The sequence below is a fragment of the Homo sapiens genome, chromosome 15 (genome assembly GCF_000001405.40).
Source record: "Homo sapiens chromosome 15, GRCh38.p14 Primary Assembly".
In the NCBI taxonomy this organism is placed as follows: Eukaryota; Metazoa; Chordata; class Mammalia; order Primates; family Hominidae; genus Homo; species Homo sapiens.
This window is the reverse complement of record NC_000015.10, coordinates 25,220,254-25,236,811: the sequence shown is the minus strand read 5'-3', so window position 1 is coordinate 25,236,811 and position 16,558 is coordinate 25,220,254. Positions and strand designations below refer to the sequence as shown.

Below are 16,558 nucleotides of genomic sequence, written 5' to 3'. Positions count from 1 at the left end.
TCCAAGGACCAAGAGCTCCCCTGTTACCCCTGTGGCACCCTGTAGCCCCTCTGGCCCCCCTCATATGGCCTGGGCAGTTCTGGAGGCCTTACCAGATCACCGCATCTTAGCTGGGTGTTGCCCTGCATTGAGCAGAAGGAACCCTTTCCTGCCTGGACCACCATCACCCCTGCAGGGCTTCAGGGAATGGGTCCTCCTTGGGTTAGGTTCCCAAAAAAGCCACCCTCCAGGACAACCCTTCCCTCCCGGGTGAAATTCAGGTCTGCTCCCTGAGAAAACCTTTGTGGCCCAAAGGCTGAACCTTGGGGACTCCACATGGTCTGGCTCATGACCAATGACCCCAGCAGGATCCACTCACCTATGCCAGTCAATGCCAGGGGGATGTCCTGGGTGGCAGAGCTCACTGAAAGACACAAGGCGAGAACAGGAGCTCAGGAAGGAGCCACCAACATTCCCCATGCCAGGGAAATGGAGCACCAACACCAATCCCACACAGGGAGCCTGGGCTGCATCACGAAGGAGCAGAGACAGGTTGGGCCACCTCCAGATGCTCTTAAGAGCCTCCAGGTCTCTAGCCCAAAATGCAGTGGCCTTGTTGGGGACCTTGGGATCCCATAATCCTCTTCCAAAATTCTCCCCTAGGTTGGGCCTCAGCGTAATCCTATTGAGCATGATTTTTAAGTCATCACCTCTCTTCAGGACAATATAAGGTTCTCATCATTGACCCAACCCAGGGAAGCCCCTCCTCGCAAAAAAAACTTCCAGTGGAAGCCAGATGTGCTCAGCACAGCTCAGTGCAGGAGACTAGGGTGCCAGGATGGGCTGGGTCTTCAATGCACTGGGGGCTGAGCACCTGGCTGATGGACACTGTCCCATGAAAAGTGGGCCCAATGGAAGTCTTCCTCCAGTCTCACCATCTAGGGACACAGGTGGAGTACATGTGACCACCCTCCATGGGGAGAATGGGGTGCGTGCCAGCTCACGCTTGCCCCCACCTCCATGGACACGTGATGAGATCCATGCAAAATATTGACTTGTCACCAATGTAGGGCACCCTTGGCCCTCCCTGCCACCGAACCCAGGAAGGACAAGGCAGGCAGGTCACTGGGCTCAGGCAAAATGCCCCCAGGCTGTGCCATACTGCAGGCCCCAAGAGCATTTCCACTGCCCAAAACAGCTCCCCAGCAAGACCCCAGGGCAGCCCTGGGAACACTGGGCACAGGCACGGGCTACCAGCCAGGTCACGGCCAACCAAGGTGGCTGGCCCAGATGCCACGTGGCACTGCAGACCTGCAGTGGCAAAGCCTGCCCCTGGGCGTGGTGGGAGCAGGTATAGGCACCCTCTCCAAGCCTGCACCAGAAATCACATCTTGGGGCTGCAGGGCCACTTGCTTTCTCTGGTGGGTCCCCATCCACACACCTCTCAGACACAGAGCCAGTCACACATAGCCACTGGCAGCCACATGGTGCCCTCTCCTTTGCTTGGTCCCAAGATCCCACCACCCTGGAGGTGACAACATGGATCCTAAGCAGCCTAAGCAACAAATTCTCAGTACAGGTCCTTCGACATTGGGCTTTCCCACCTCAGGAGGCCACCCTTCACGACACTCGACCTCAGAGAAAGGGTGACCCCCAGAGGGATGTGGGCTGTCCGTTGGCCCAAAGCCCACGAGTCCCAGGGCTGACCTACATTACCACCAGGTACTGACCAGAGTTCCACCTTGACCGAACCCCAGGGAAAAAACGCCACCCCCCACCAGGCTCCAGGAGGAGAGTCACATTCAGGGCCATGGGTGGTGCAGCATCCTTGAATCTCTGCGACTCAACCCCATGGGCCCATTCATGTACCACACTCTGGGGACCAAGAGCTCCCCTGTCACTCCTGTGGTGCCTCGTAGCCCCTCTGGGCCCCTTCATGTGGCAGGGAGGTCCTTGAGGCCTTACTGGAACACCGAGTCTCAGCTGGGTGAAGGAACCCTTTCCTGCCTGGACCACCATCATCCCAGTAGGGCTTCAGGGAAGGCGTCCTCCTTGGGTCCAATTCCCAAAAACCCACCCTCCTGGAGAAGCCATCTCTCCCAGGTGGCAAATCAGGTTGGCTGTCTGAGACAACTCTCGGGATCCAAAGGCTGAACCTTGGGGACCCCACATGGCCTGGCTCATGGCCCATAATCCCAGAAGGATCCACTCACCTCTGTCGGTCAATGCTAGGGAGCCCACCTGTTTGGAAGAGCTCACTGAAAGACACAAGGGGAGAACGGGGGCTCAGGGAGTAGCCACCCACGTGTCCTGCCCCCAGGGAAGTGGAGCACCAATACCGATCCCGAATAGGGAGCATGGGCTGCCTCAGGGAGGAGTGCAGAGACAGGGTTGGGCCCCCTACAGATGCCCTTCAGGACCTCCAGGTCTCCAGCCCAAAATATGGTGGCCCTGTTGGGGACCTCAGGATCCCAGCATCCTCTTCCAAAATTCTCACCTAGTCTGGGCCTCAGTGTAATCCTATTGAGCATGATTTTTAAGTCATCACCTCTCTTCAAGATAATACAAGGTTCTCATCATTGACCCAACCCAGGGCACCCTGCCTCCCCACGCATGCATCTAGCAGGACCTGGATATGGTCATCACAGCTCAGTGCAGGAGACCACGGAGTCAGGAAGGGTCAGAGCTTCAGCACACCATGGGCTGAGCACCTGGCTGACGTACACTGGCCTGGGGCCTGTGGGCCCAACACGAGTCTTCCTCCAGGCTCACCATCTGGAGGGACAGGAGGACAAGTGTCCAACCAGGGCCTCACATATCAATGCTGGGAAGGAGCTAAGTGATACTCATGCAATGGGATCCATGCTGAACACTGACCCAACATGGACACGGGGCACCCTTGGCCCTCCCTGCCACCAAACCCTGGAGAGACAGGGCAAGCGGGTCACCTGGCTCAGGCAAGATGCCTGGGATGCACCCTACTGCATGTTGCAAGAGCACCTCCATGCCAGGGCCGGTTCCTCTGCATGACCCCATGGCCATACCAGGGACATGGGGCATGGGACAGGGCCACCAACTAGCTCCTGGCCAACCAAGGAGGGTGGCCCAGATGCCAAGAGCTGCTGCAACCTGGCAGTCCCAGAGCCTGTACCTGGGCATGGTGGGTGCCAGATCTGGTGCCCTCTCCAAGCCTGCGGACCTCCAGGGCCATGTGCTTTCACTGGTGGGTCCCAATCCATACCCTGCACAACTCCGACACACAGAGCCGGGCCACACTCAGCCAATCAGGAACCACATGGTGTCCTCTCCTTTCCTTGGGCTCAAGACCCCACCACCCTAGAGGTGACCCCATGGCTCAGAAGCAGCTTGGACAGCAAATTCCCAGGACAGGTCCCTCAACAGTAGGGCTTTCCACCTCAGGAAGCCCCCCTTCCTGCCACTGGACCTCAAGGAAGGGTTGTTCCCAGCAGGATGGAAGCTTCCCCCTTGGCCCAAAGCCCACAAGTCCCAGGGCCAGCCTGCAGCACCACTGGGTGCCAGCCAGAGCTCAGCCTTGACCCAACCTCATTGAAAGAGTGCCATCCCCCACCAGGTTCAAGGAGGTGCCACTAAGATGGCCCATTGCTCAATAGGGTTGGTCCCATTCAAGGCCATCGGTGTGGAGCATTCCTTGAATCTCCACAGCCTGACCATGTGGGCCCAATCACTCACCCCTCTCCAGGGAGACAGAACTCCAGTGTGACCTCTAGGGTGCGCCACATTCCCTGTGTCCCTCCTCCCCATATGCCCTGGGCAGTACTCCAGGCCTGATCTGTCCACCAAGTTTCAGCTGGGAGCTGCCCTACATTGGGGCTGAAGGAACCCCTTCCTGCCTGGACCACTGTCACCTCTGCAGGGCTTCAGGAAAGGCGTGCTCCATGGGTCAGATTCCGAAGGAAGTGGCCCTCCTGAGAAACCATCGCTCCCTGGTGGAGAGTAGGTTTGCAGCCTGAGAAAAGCCTAGTGGCCTGAAGGCTGAATGTCGGGGACCCCATGCTGCAACACTCATGGCCCATGATCAAAACAGGATGCACTCACCTATGCCGCTTAAGGCCGGGGGGACCACTTGGGCCGAAGAGCTCACTGAAAGACACAGGAGAGAATGGGGGCTCAGGAAGGAGCCTCCAATGTGCCCCGTCCCCAGAGACCCGGAGCCCGGATACCAAGCCAGTACAGGGAGGCTGGGCTGCCTCATTGAGGAGGGCAGAGATAGAGTTGGGTCCACCAGATGCCTTTCAGGGCCTCAAGGTCTCCAGCCCAAAACACAGGGGCCCTGCAGGGGGCTTCGGGACCCAGTGTCCTCTTCCAAAATTATCACCTAGGCTGGGCCTCAGCGTAATCCTATTGAGCATGATTTTTAAGTCATCACCTCTCTTCAGAACATTATAAGGTTCTCATCATTGACCCAACCTAGGACAACCCCTCCCCACGCATGCATCCAGCAGGACCAGGATATGCTCACCACAGCTCAGTGCAGGAGACCAGGGTGCCAGGAAAGGCTTGAGCTTCAGCGCATCGGGGGCTGGGAACCTGGCTGACAGACACTGGTCCAGGGCCATTGGGCCCAATGCAAGTCTTCCTCCAGGCTCACCACCTGGGGGTACAGGAGGAGGACATGTGTCCAAATAGGGCCTCACATCTCCATATGTAGAAGGAATAAGAGATACCCACATAATGGGTTCCATGTGGAACACTGACTCATCATGAATGCAGGGCACCCATGGCCCTCCCTGTCAGCATACCCTGAAAAAACAAGGCAGTCTGCCTGCCCTGTGACCACTGGGCATGGGCCACAGCAACCAACCCACTCCCAGCCAACCAAGGAGGGTAGAAGGAAGCTACACACCATTGCAAACCTGGCAGTCACATAGCCTGCCCCTGGACATGGTGGGCACCCACCAAGGTGCCCTCTCCAAGTGTGCACTGAAAATCACAGCCTGGGGACCCGGGCCACATGCTTTCACAGGTGGGACCCTATCCACATCCCACACACCTCCCAAACACAGAGCTGGGCTACACTCGGCCAATCAAGGGCCACATGGTATCTTCTCTTTTCCTTGGTCCCAAGACCCCATGACCCTGGAGGTGACCCTATGGCTCAGAAGAAGCTGAGGTGGCAAATTCCCAGTACAGGACCTCAGACAGTAGGCCTTCCCACCAATCACTCAAATTTGGAGAACAGGTTACCCCCAATAGGATGCAGGCTTCCCCCTCAGCCCAAAGCCCACGGATCCCAGGGCTGGACTGCAGCACCACCAGGCACCAGCCATATCTCAGCCTTGACCCAACCCCATTGAAACTGCACCACCCCCCACCAGGCTCAATATGTGCCACTGGGATGGCCAGTTGCTCAACAGGGTGGGCCCCATTCAGGGTTACAGGTGGGATGAGATCCTTGAACCTCTGCGACTCAACCCTGTCAAGTCACAGATTCCCAAGGAAGCTGACCTCCTGGAGAAACCATGCCTCCCTCATGGGAATTAGGGTCAGCTCCCTGAGGAAACCTTCATGGCCCGAAGTCTGACCCTTGGCAACCCCAAGCAGCCTGGCTCACGGACCATGACAGCAGCAGGATCCACTCACCTATGTTGGTCAATGCCAGGAGGACCCCCTTGGCAGAAGAGCTCACTGAAAGACACAAGGGGAGAACTGGGGCTCAGGGAGGAGCCACCCACATGCCCTGCCCCCAAGGAACAGAAGCAACAACACCAAGCCCGCACAGGGAGCCTGGGCTGCTACACGGAGGAGCACAGAGAAAGAGTTGAGCCACCTCCAGATGCCCTTCAGGGCCTCCAGGCCTCCAACCCAAACTACAGTGGCCCTGCCAGAAATCTCGGGATCCCAACATCCCCTACCAAATTTCTCACTTAGGGTGGGCCTCAGCGTAATCCTATTGAGCATTATTTTTAAGTCATCACCGCTCTTCAGGACAATATACGGTTCTCATCATTGACCCAACCCAGGGCACCCCCCTTCCCACATACGCATCCAGTGGAACCCGGATGTGCTCACCACAGCTCAGTCCAGGGCGCCAGGAAGGGCTGGAGCTTCAGTGCACTGGGGCTGAGCACCTGGCTGATGGACACTGGCCCAGGAAAAGCGAGGCCGACAGAAGTCTCACCATCTGGAGGAACAGATGGAGAACGTGTGACCACCCTTCATGTGGAGAAGGGGGTGGCGGGTGCCAGCTCATGTTTGCTCCCCCTCCATGGACACATGTGATGATATCCATGTGAAATACTGACTCATCACCTATGCCGGGCACCCCTGGTCTTCCCTACCACCGATCCTGGGAAGGGCAAGGCAGGCAGGTCACTGGGCTCAGGCAAAACGCCCAGGCTGTGCTGTACTGCAGGACCCAAGAGCACCTCCACTAGCCAAAACAGCTCCCCCGCAGCACCCTAGAACTACCCTGGGAACACTGGGCACAGGCCCAGGCCACCAGCCAGGTCATGGCCAACCAAGGAGGCTGGCCCAGATGCCACGTGCCACTGCAGACCTGATAGTGGCATAGCCTACCTCTGAGCCTGGTACTTGGGTGTAAAGGCACCCTCTCCAAGTGTGCACCGGAAATCATAGCCTCGGGCTGCAGGGCCACTTGCTTTCTCTATGAATGGTGGGTCCCCATTCATACTCCACATATCTCCCAGACACAGAGCCAGTCACACATGGCCTATCTGCAGTGACATGGTGCCCACTCCTTTGCTTGGTCCCAAGACCCTGCCACCCTGGAGGTGACACCATGGCTCCCAAGCAGCCTGAGCAACAAATTCACAGTACAAGTGCCTCAATAGCAAGCCTTCCCAACTCAGGAGGCCACCCTTCACGACACTCGACCATGGAGAAAGGGTGGCCCCCAGCGGGATGCGGGATGCCCCTTGGCCCAAAGCCCACAAGTCCCAGGGCTGACCTGCAGCACCACCAGGTACCAGCCAGAGCTCCGCCTTGACCCAACCCCAGGAAAACAACACTGCCTCCCACCAGGCTCCAGGAGACCCATGGGATGGCCCATTGATCAACAGGGACGGTTGCATTCAGGGCCATGGTGTGGTGCAATCCTTAAATCTCTGAGACCCAACGGAATGGGCCCATTCATGCACCACACTCTGGGGACCAAGAGCTCCCCTGTTACCCCGTGGCACCTCGTAGCCCCTCTGGCCCCCCTTATGTGACCTGGGCAGTTCTGGAGGCCTTACCGGAGCACCGAGTCTCAGCTGGGTGCTGCCCTGCATTGAGCAGAAGGAACTTTCCTGCCTGGACCACCATCACCCCGGCAGGGCTTCAGGGAAGGCATCCTCCTTGGGTCCGATTCCCAAAAAAGTCGCCCTCCAGGAGAACCCTTCCCTCCCAGGTGGAAATTCAGGTCTGCTCCCTGAGAAAACTGTTGCCCAAAGACTGAATCTCTGGGATCCCCCCATGGTCTGGCTCATGACCCATGACCCCAGCAGGATCCACTCACCTATGTCAGTCAATGCCAGGTGGACCTCCTAGGTGGAAAATCTGAAAGGCACAAGGTGAGAACAGGGGCTCTGGAGGGAGCCACCAATGTTCCCCACCCCCAGGGAACCATAGCACCAACACCAACCCCACACAGGGAGCCTGGGCTGCCTCACAGAGGAGTGCAGAGACAGGTTGCACGACCTCCAGATGCCCTTCAGAGCCTCCAGGTCTCCAGTTCAACATACGATGGCCCTGCAAGGGACCTTGGGATCCCAGCATCTGCTTCCAAAATTCTCACCTAGGCTAGGCCTCAGCGTAATCCTATTGAACATGATTTTTAAGTCATCATCTCTCTTCAGGGCAATATCAGGTTCTCATCATTGACCCAACCTAGGGAACCCCCTCCCCACACAAACATCCAGTGCAACCCAGATGTGCTTACCCCAGCTCAGTGCAGGAGACCAGTGTGCCAGGAAGGGTCAGAGTTTCAGCGCACCAGAGGCTGAGCACCTGGCTGACAGACATTGGCCTGGGGCCTGTGGGCCCAACACAAGTCTTCCTCCAGGCTTACCATCTGGAGGGACAGGAGGAGGAAATGTGTCTAACCAGGGCCTCACACATCAATGTAGAGAAGGGGCTAAGGGATACTCATGTGATGGGATCCATGCTGAATACTGATCCCTCACGGACACTGGGCACCCTTGGCCCTCCCTGCCGCCAAACCCTGGAAAGACAGGGCAAGCGTGTCACCTGGCTCGGGCAAGATGCCTGGGCAGCACCCTACTGCAGGCCCCAAGAGCACCTCCACTGCCCAGGCCTGCTACCACACACAACCCCAGGGCCATACCGGGGACACAGGGCACAAGACAGGGCCACCAACCAGCCCCTGGCCAACCAAGCATGCTGGCCCAGACGCCAAGAGCCGCTGCAGACCTGGAAGTCCGAGAGATCGTACCTAGGCGTGGTGGGCGCTGGCCCTGGTGCCCTCTCCAAGCCTAGGGGCTTCCAGGATCACATGCTTTCTATGGTGGGTCTCAATCCATGTCCTGCCCAACTCTGACACACAGAGCCGGGTCACACTCAGCCAATCAGGAACCACATCGTGTCTTTTCCTTTCTTGGGCTCAAGACCCTGCCACCCCCTGAGGTGACCCCAAGGCTCAGAAGCAGCCTGGGCAGCAAATTCCTAGAACAGGTCCCTCGACAGCAGGCCTTGCCATCTCAGGAGGACACTCTTTTCACCACTGGACCTCAAGGAAGGCTTGTCCCCAGCAGGATCAGAGCTGCTCCCTTGGCCCAAAGTCCACAAGTCCCAGGGCCTGCAGCACCACCAGGTGCCAGCCAGAGCTCACTCTTGACCCAACCTCATTGAAACAGTGCCGTCCCCCACCAGGCTCAAGGAGGTGCCACTAAGATGGCCTATTGCTCAACAGGGTTGGTCCCATTCAAGGCCATGGGTGTGGAGCATGCCTTGAATCTCCACAGCCTGACCGTGTGGACCCAGTCACTCATCCCTCTCCAGGGAGGGGAGAACTCCAGTGTGACCTCCACGGCGCACTGTATCCCCCGTGCCTCACTCCCCCATGTGCCTTGGGCAATACTCGAGGCCTGACCTGCCCACTGAGTTTCAGCTGGGAGCTGCCCTACATTGGGCTGAAGGAACCCTTTCCAGCCTGGACCACTGTCACCCCTGCAGGGCCTCAGGAGAGACTTGCTCCTTGGGTCAGATTCCCAAGGAAGCAGCCCTCCTGAGAAACCATCGCTCCCTGGTGGGGAGTAGGTTGGCAGCCTGAGAAAACCCTGGTGGCCCAAAGGCAGAATGTCAGGGACCCCATGCTGCATCACTCATGGCCCATGACCAAAACAGGATGCACTCACCTATGCCGCTCAAGGCTGGGGGGGTCACTTGTGCAGAAGAGTTCACTGAATGACAAGGGAGAACAGGGGCTCAGGAAGGAGCCTCCAACATGCCCCGTCACCAGGGACCCAGAGCCCGGATACCAAGCCAGCACAGGGAGCCTGGGCTGCCTCACAGAGGAGCACAGAGATAGGGGTGGGCCCACAAGATGCCCTTCAGGGCCTCAAGGTCTCCAGCCCAAAATACAGCTGCTCTGTCAGGGACCTCAGAATTCCAGCATCCTCTTCCAAAATTATCACCTAGGCTGGGCCTCAGTGTAATCCTATTGAGCATGATTTTTAAGTCATCACCTTTCTTCAGGACAATATAAGGTTCTCATCACTGACCCAACCCAGGGCACCCTCCCGCCCCCAGCTCATGCATCCAGCAGGACCCAGATGGACTCACCAGAGCTCAGTGCAGGAGCCGAGGGCACTAGGAAGGTCCTGAGCTTCAGCGCACTGGGGGCTGGGTGCCTAGCTGACTGACATTGGCCCAGGGATAGTGGGCCCAACACAAATTTTCCTCCGGGGTCACCATCTGGGGAGACAGGAGGGAGACGTGTGCCCAAACTGACCTCCGTTTGGGGAAGGGGGTCGGGGGTGCCAGCTCACCTTTGCTTGCCCTCCATGGACACATGTGATGAGTTCAATGTGAAATACTGACTTGTTAAGTACGCACTACACTGTTGGCCCTCCCTTCCACTGAACCCAGAAAGGAAAGGGCAGGTGGGTCACTGGGCTTGAGCAAAACGCCCAGGCTGCATCATATTGCAGGCCCCGAGAGCACCTCCACTGTCCAAAACAGCTCCCCTGCATGACCCCAGTGCTGCACTGGGACTGTTGGGCACAGATCCGGGCCACCAGCCAGGTGGCGGCCAACCAAGGAGGCTAGCCCAGATGTCACACCCTGCTGCAGACCTGGTAGTTGCATAGTCTGTCACTGGGCATGAAGGGCACGTGTCCAGGCAACCTCTCCAAGTGTGCAACAGAAATCACAGCCTGGTGCTGCAGGGCCACGTGCTTCCTCTGGTGGGTCCCCATCCATACTCTGTAAACCTCCCACACACAGAGACAGCCACATGGCCAATCAGGAGACACTTGGTGCCCTCTGCTTTGCTTGGGCCCAAGACCCCGCCACCCTGGATGTGACCCCAAAGCTCAGAAGAAACTTGAGCGACAAACTCCTGGGACACGTCCCTCGACAGCAGGCCTTCCCACATCAGGAGGCCACTCTTCCAGATACTTGACGTCGGAAAAAGGGTGACCCCCAGTGGGACGCGGGCTCCCCCTTGGCCCAATGCCCATGAGTCCCAAGGCTGACCTGCAGAAGCCACAAGGTGCTGGCCAGAGCTCTGCCTTGACCCATCCCCAGGGAAACAATGCCACCCCCTCCCCTCCACCAGGCTCCAGGAGACTCACTGGGATGGCCCATTGCTCAATAAGGATGGTCCTATTCAGGGCCACGGTGGTGCGCGATCCTTTAATCTCCACAATCCAACCCAAGAGGCCCATTTGTGCATGACATACCGAATACTGAGAGCTCCTATGTGACCCCCGTGGCACCCAGAGCTCCTCTGTCCCCCTCATGTGGCCTGGGAAATCCTTGAGGCCTGACCTGAGCATCAACTCTCAGCTATGAGCTGCCCTGTGTGGGGTGGAAGGGACCCTTTCCTGCCTGGACCACCATCACACCCACAGGGCTTCAGGGAAGGTGTCCCCCTTGGATCCGATTCCCAAAATAGCCGCCCTCCTGGAGAACCTATGCCTCCCCAGTGGTAATTCAGGTCGGTTCCCTGAGAAAACCCTCATGGCCAGAAGGGGGACCCCTGGTGACCCCACGTGGCCTGGCTCATGGCCCATGACCCCAGCAGGATGCACTCACCTATACCCATCAATTCCAGGGGGCCCGCCTGGGCAGAAGAGCTCACTGAAAGACACAAAGGGAGAACAGGGGCTCAGTAAAGAGCTACCAATATTCCCTGACCTGGGGAACTGGAGCCCCAACACCAAGCCCACAAAAGGAGCCTGGGCTGCCTCAGGGAGGAGCACAGAGACAGGTTGGGCCACCTCCAGATGCCCTTCAGGGCTTCAAGGTCTCCAGCCCAAAATACAGAGTCCCTGCGGGGGACTTCGGTATCCCAGTGTCCTCCTCCAAAATTCTCAACTAGGCTGGGCCTCAGCGTAATCCTATTGAGCATGATTTTTAAATAATCACCTCTCTTCAGAACAATATAAGGTTCTCATCATTGACCCAACCCAAGGCACCCACCTCCCTGCACATGCATCCAGCAGGACCAGGATATACTCACCACAGCTCAGTGCAGGAGACCAGGGTGCCAGGAAAGGCTTGAGCTTCAGCGCATCGGGGGTTGGGAACCTGGCTGACAGACACTGGTCTAGGGCCTTTGGGCCCAACGCAAGTCTTCCTCCAGGCTCACCATCTGGGGGTACAGGAGGAGGATATGTGTCCAAATAGGGCCTCACATCTCCATATGAGGAAGGGGTAAGAGATACCCACGTAATGGGTTCCATGTGGAACACCGACTCATCATGGATGCTTGGCCCTCCCCATCACCATACCCTGAAAAAACAGGGCCGTCTGCCTGCCCTGTGACCACTAGGCATGGGCCACAGCCTCCAACCAGCTCCCGACCAACCAAGGAGGGTAGCTTGGAAGCTATGCACTGTTGCAAACCTGGTAGTCACATAGCCTGCCCATGGATGTGGTAGGTACCCGCCGAGGCACCCTCTCCAAGTGTGCACTGAAAATCACAGCCTGGGGACCCAGGCCATGTGCTTTCATTGGTGGGACCCCATCCACATCCCACACACCTCCCAAACAGACCTGGGCCACATGTAGCCAATCAAGGGCCACATGGTATCTTCTCCTTTCCTTGGGCCCAAGACCCCATGACCCTGGAGGTGACCACTTGTCTCAGAAGAACCCGGGGTGGCAAATTCCCAGTATAGGACCCTAGACAGTGGGCCTTCCCACCTCAGAATGCCACTGTTAACCGTTACTCAAACTCGGAGAATGGGTTACCCTCAATAGGATGTGGGCTACCCCCTTAGCCCAAAGCCCACGGGTCCCAGGGCTGGCCAGCAGCAGCACCAAGCACCAGATGGATCTCAGCCTTGACTCAACCCTATTGAAACTGCACCACACCCCACCAGGCTCAATACGTGCCATTGGGATGGCCTGTTGCTCAACAGGGTTGGCCCCATTCAGGGTCACAGGTGGGATGAAATCCTTGAACCTCCACAACCCAACCCCGTCACCAACCCCACGAAACAAGTCTGGGGACTGAGAGCTCCTACATAACACCTGTGGCACCCCAGAGCCCTTCTGGGCCCCTCAGGTGGCCTGGGCAGTCTTCAAGGCCTGACCCACATACCATATCTCAACTAGGTGATGTCCTGCATGGGGCTGAAGGAAACCTTTGCTATCTGGACCATCGTCACCCCTGCAGGGCTTCAGGGAAGACATCCTCCTTGGGTAAGATTCCCAAGGAAGCTGCCCTCCTGGAGAAACCATCCCTCCTGAAATCCCTGACCCATCATGGATGCAGGGCACCCTTGGCCCTCCCCGTCACCACACCCTGAAAAAACAGGGCAGTCTGCCTGCCCTGTGACTACTAGGCATGGGCCACAGCCTCCAACCAGCTCCCGGCCAACCAAGGAGGGTAGCTCGGAAGCTATGCACTGTTGCAAACCTGGCAGTCACATGGTGGGAATTGAGGTCGGTTCCCTGAGGAAACCCTTGGGGCCTGAAGTCTGACCCTCAGCAAACCCATGCGGCCTAGCTCATAGCCCATGATGCCAGCAGGATCCACTCACCTATGTTGGTCAATGCCAGGGGAACCGCTTGGCAGAAGAGCTCACTGAAAGACACAAGGGGAGAACCAGGACTCAGGGAGGAGCCCCCAACGTGCCCCATCACTGGAGAAGAGGAGCGCAAACACCAAGCCCACAAAGGGAGCCTGGGCTGCCTCACAGAGGAGCGCAAAGAAAGCACTGGGCCACCTCCAGACGCCCTTCAGGGCCTCCAGGTCTCCAACCCAAAATACAAGTGGCCCTCCCGGAAATCTTGGGATCCCGGCATCCTCTGCCAAAATTCTCCCCTAGGCTGGGCCTCAGCGTAATCCTATTGAGCATGATTTTTAAGTCATCACCTCTCTTCAGGACAATATAAGGTTCTCATCATTGACCCAACCCAGAGAACCCCCTCCCCGCACAAACATCCAGTGAAACCCGGATGTGCTCACCACAGCTCAGTTCAGGAGACCAGGGCGCCAGGAAGGGCTGGAGCTTCAGTGCACCAGGGACTGAGCACCTGGGTGATGGGCACTGGCTCAGGAAAAGCAGGCCCAGTGGAAGTCTTCCTCAAGTCTCACCATCTGGGGGCACAGGTGGAGGACATGTGACCACCCTCCATGCGGAGAAGGGGGTGTTGGGTGCCAGCTCATGCTTGCTTTCCCTCCATGGACAGGTGATGAGATCCACACAAAATACTGACTCATCACTGACGCAGGGCACCCTTGGCCCTCCCTGCCACCGAACCCAGGAAGGACAAGGCAGGCAGGTCACTGGTCTCAGGTAAAATGCCCAGGCTGTGCCATACTTCAGGCCTGGAGAGCACCTCCACTGCCCAAAACAGCTGCCCCGTATGATGCCAGGGCTGCCCTGGGACCACTGGGCACAGGATCGGGCCACCAGCCAGGTCATGGACAACCAAGGAGGCTAATCAATGCCAGGGTGCCCACCTGGGCAGAAAAGCTCACTGAAAGACACAAAGGGAGAATGGGGGCTCAGGAAAGAGCCACCAACTTGTTCCATCCCCAGGGTACCAGAGCACCAACACCAAGGCTGGACAGGGAGCCTGGGGACCCTCATGCAGGAGCACAGAGACAGGGTTGGGCCCCCTCCAGATGCCCTTTCAGGGCCTCCAGGTCTCCAGCCCAAAATACAGTGGCTCTGCCAGGGATAATAGGATCCCAACGTCCTCTTCCAACATTCTCACCTAGGTTCGGCCTAAGTGTAATCCTATTGAGCATGGTTTTTAAGTCATCACCTCTCTTCAGAAGAATACAAGGTTCTCATCACCACCCCAACCCAGGGCACCCCCCTCCCCATGCATGCATCCAGCAGCACCCAGTTGTGCTCACCAGAGCTCAGTGCAAGAGACCAGGGAACCAGGAAGGGTCTGAGCTTCAGTGCACTGGGAGCTGAGCACCTGGATGATGGACACTGGCCCGGGGCCTTCAGGCCCAACTGAAGTCTTTCTTCAGGGTCACCATCTGTAGGGACAGGAGGAGGACATGTGTCCAACCAGGGCCTCATGTATCAATGTAGGGAAGGTGGGTAGGGGATACCCTTGTAATGGAATCCTTACAGAACACTGACCCAACATGGACGCAGAGCACCCTTGGCCTTCCCTGCCACAAAACCCTGGAAAGACAGGGCAAGTGGGTTACTGGGCTGGGGCAAGAGGCCTGGGCTGTGCCCTACTGTGGGCCCCAAGAGCACCTCCACTGCCTGGGCCAGATCCCCCGAACAACCCCAGGGTCGTACCGGGACCATGGGGCACGGGCCAAGGCAGCCAACCTGCTGAAGGTTGGTTGAGCCAAGGAGGGTGGTCCTGATGCCAGGAGCCACTCCAGACCTGGCAGGCAAAGACCTTGCCCCTGGGCATGGTAGGGCCACCCTGGTGCCCACTCCAAGCACACACCAGAAATCAAAGCCTGGGGGCCTCCAGGGCCACATTCTTTCTCTGATGAGTCCCCATCCATGCCCTGCACACCTCCCACACATACAGCCAGGCCACACTCAGCCAATCAGAAACCACATGGTGTCCTCTCCTTTCCTTGGGCTGAAGACCCCGCCATCCTGGAGGTGACCCCATGGCTCAGAAGCAGCCTAGGTGGCAAATTCCCAGGACAGGTCCCTTGACAGCAGGTCTGCCCACCTCAGGAGGCCACCCTTCCCACCACTGGACCTCAAGGAAGGGATTACCCCAGTGGGATGGGAGTTGCCCCCTTGGCATAAAGCCCATGAGCCCCAGGGCCGGCCTGCAGCACCACCAGGCACCAGCCAGCGCTCAGCCTTGACCCAACTGCATTGAAACATGCCGAAAATGGCCCATTGCTCAACAGGGTTGGTCCCATTCAGGGCCATGGGTGGGTGGCATTCCTTGAATCTCCGCAGCCTGACCACGTGGACCCTATCACCCATCCCTCTTGGGGGAAGAACTCCAGCATGACTCCCAGGGCACCCCAAAGCCCCTGTGGCCCCTTTCATGTGGACTGGGCAGTCCTCAAGCCTCACCTGCCCACCTAGTTTCAGCTGGGAACTGCCCTACGTTAGGTTGAAGGAACCCTTTCCTGCCTGGACCACCATCTCCCTGCCGAGCTTCAGGAAATGTGTGCTCCTAGGGTCAGATTCCCAAGAAGTGACCCTCCTGGAGGAACCATCCCTCCCGGTGAGTAATCGGTTGGCTCCCTGAGAAAACCCTAGTGGCCTGAAGGCTGACTCTCACCAACCCCATGCTGCCTCACTCATGGCCCATGACCCCAACAGGATGCACTGACCTATGCCGCTCAAAGCTAGGGACCCCACCTGGGCAGAAGAGCTCACTGAAGGACACAGGGAAGAAGGAGCATTCAGGAAGGAACACCAAATTGCCCTGTCCCTGGAGAAGCGGAGCACAGACACCAAGCCCGCAAGGGGAGCCTGGGCTGCCTCACGAAGGAGCTCAGAGACAGGGTTGGGCTCCCCTGAGATGCCCTTCAAGTTCTCAAGTTCTCCAGTGCAAAATAAGTGTGGTCTAGCTGGAGATCTTGGGATCCCTGCATCATCTTCCCTAATTCTTACCTATCCTGGGCTTCAATGTAATCCTATTGAGCATGATTGTTAAGTCATCACCTCTTTTCAGGACAATATAAGGTTCTCATCATCAGCCCAACCCAGGGCGCACCCCTGCCCCACACATGCATCCAGCAGTACCCGGATGTGCTCACCCTGGCTCAGTGCGGGAGCCGAGCATTCCAGGAAAGGCCCAAGCTTCAGCGCACTTAGAGCTGGGCACCTGGCTGACTGACACTGGCCCAAGAACAGAGGGCCCAGGGCAAGTCTTCTTCGGTCTCACCATTTGGGGGACAGCAGGATGATATGTGTCCAAACTGACCTCCATGTGGGGAAGGCAG

At 57.8% G+C, this 16,558-nt stretch overlaps 1 long non-coding RNA gene and 10 other non-coding genes across 11 annotated transcripts in view; all 11 read right to left on the bottom strand.

Moving 5' to 3' along the window:
* The window catches only part of SNHG14 (small nucleolar RNA host gene 14), a 595,855-nt gene that overhangs the window by 182,651 nt on the left and 396,646 nt on the right, over nucleotides 1-16,558 (bottom strand). Inside the window, exons 109-123 of the long non-coding RNA NR_146177.1 lie at nucleotides 14,522-14,653; nucleotides 13,622-13,753; nucleotides 13,194-13,237; nucleotides 11,666-11,797; nucleotides 11,239-11,283; nucleotides 9,763-9,894; nucleotides 7,901-8,032; nucleotides 7,478-7,518; nucleotides 6,031-6,142; nucleotides 5,602-5,646; nucleotides 4,481-4,612; nucleotides 4,057-4,101; nucleotides 2,609-2,754; nucleotides 2,193-2,237; nucleotides 359-403 (exon numbers count right to left, since the gene is read on the bottom strand). This is a non-coding gene — a long non-coding RNA (small nucleolar RNA host gene 14). The remainder of the gene's footprint in view (nucleotides 1-358; nucleotides 404-2,192; nucleotides 2,238-2,608; nucleotides 2,755-4,056; nucleotides 4,102-4,480; nucleotides 4,613-5,601; nucleotides 5,647-6,030; nucleotides 6,143-7,477; nucleotides 7,519-7,900; nucleotides 8,033-9,762; nucleotides 9,895-11,238; nucleotides 11,284-11,665; nucleotides 11,798-13,193; nucleotides 13,238-13,621; nucleotides 13,754-14,521; nucleotides 14,654-16,558) is intronic.
* On the bottom strand, nucleotides 646-727 carry SNORD115-36 (small nucleolar RNA, C/D box 115-36). Its single transcript, NR_003351.1, has one exon. It is a non-coding gene; the product is annotated as a small nucleolar RNA, C/D box 115-36 (small nucleolar RNA).
* On the bottom strand, nucleotides 2,484-2,565 carry SNORD115-35 (small nucleolar RNA, C/D box 115-35). The gene has a single exon (NR_003350.1). It is a non-coding gene; the product is annotated as a small nucleolar RNA, C/D box 115-35 (small nucleolar RNA).
* Nucleotides 4,344-4,425, bottom strand: SNORD115-34 (small nucleolar RNA, C/D box 115-34). The gene has a single exon (NR_003349.1). It is a non-coding gene; the product is annotated as a small nucleolar RNA, C/D box 115-34 (small nucleolar RNA).
* Nucleotides 5,893-5,974, bottom strand: SNORD115-33 (small nucleolar RNA, C/D box 115-33). Its single transcript, NR_003348.1, has one exon. It is a non-coding gene; the product is annotated as a small nucleolar RNA, C/D box 115-33 (small nucleolar RNA).
* SNORD115-32 (small nucleolar RNA, C/D box 115-32) lies at nucleotides 7,764-7,845 on the bottom strand. The gene has a single exon (NR_003347.1). It is a non-coding gene; the product is annotated as a small nucleolar RNA, C/D box 115-32 (small nucleolar RNA).
* Nucleotides 9,622-9,703, bottom strand: SNORD115-31 (small nucleolar RNA, C/D box 115-31). Its single transcript, NR_003346.1, has one exon. It is a non-coding gene; the product is annotated as a small nucleolar RNA, C/D box 115-31 (small nucleolar RNA).
* SNORD115-30 (small nucleolar RNA, C/D box 115-30) lies at nucleotides 11,528-11,609 on the bottom strand. Its single transcript, NR_003345.1, has one exon. It is a non-coding gene; the product is annotated as a small nucleolar RNA, C/D box 115-30 (small nucleolar RNA).
* SNORD115-29 (small nucleolar RNA, C/D box 115-29) lies at nucleotides 13,485-13,566 on the bottom strand. The gene has a single exon (NR_003344.1). It is a non-coding gene; the product is annotated as a small nucleolar RNA, C/D box 115-29 (small nucleolar RNA).
* On the bottom strand, nucleotides 14,385-14,458 carry SNORD115-28 (small nucleolar RNA, C/D box 115-28). Its single transcript, NR_003497.1, has one exon. It is a non-coding gene; the product is annotated as a small nucleolar RNA, C/D box 115-28 (small nucleolar RNA).
* Nucleotides 16,234-16,309, bottom strand: SNORD115-27 (small nucleolar RNA, C/D box 115-27). The gene has a single exon (NR_003496.1). It is a non-coding gene; the product is annotated as a small nucleolar RNA, C/D box 115-27 (small nucleolar RNA).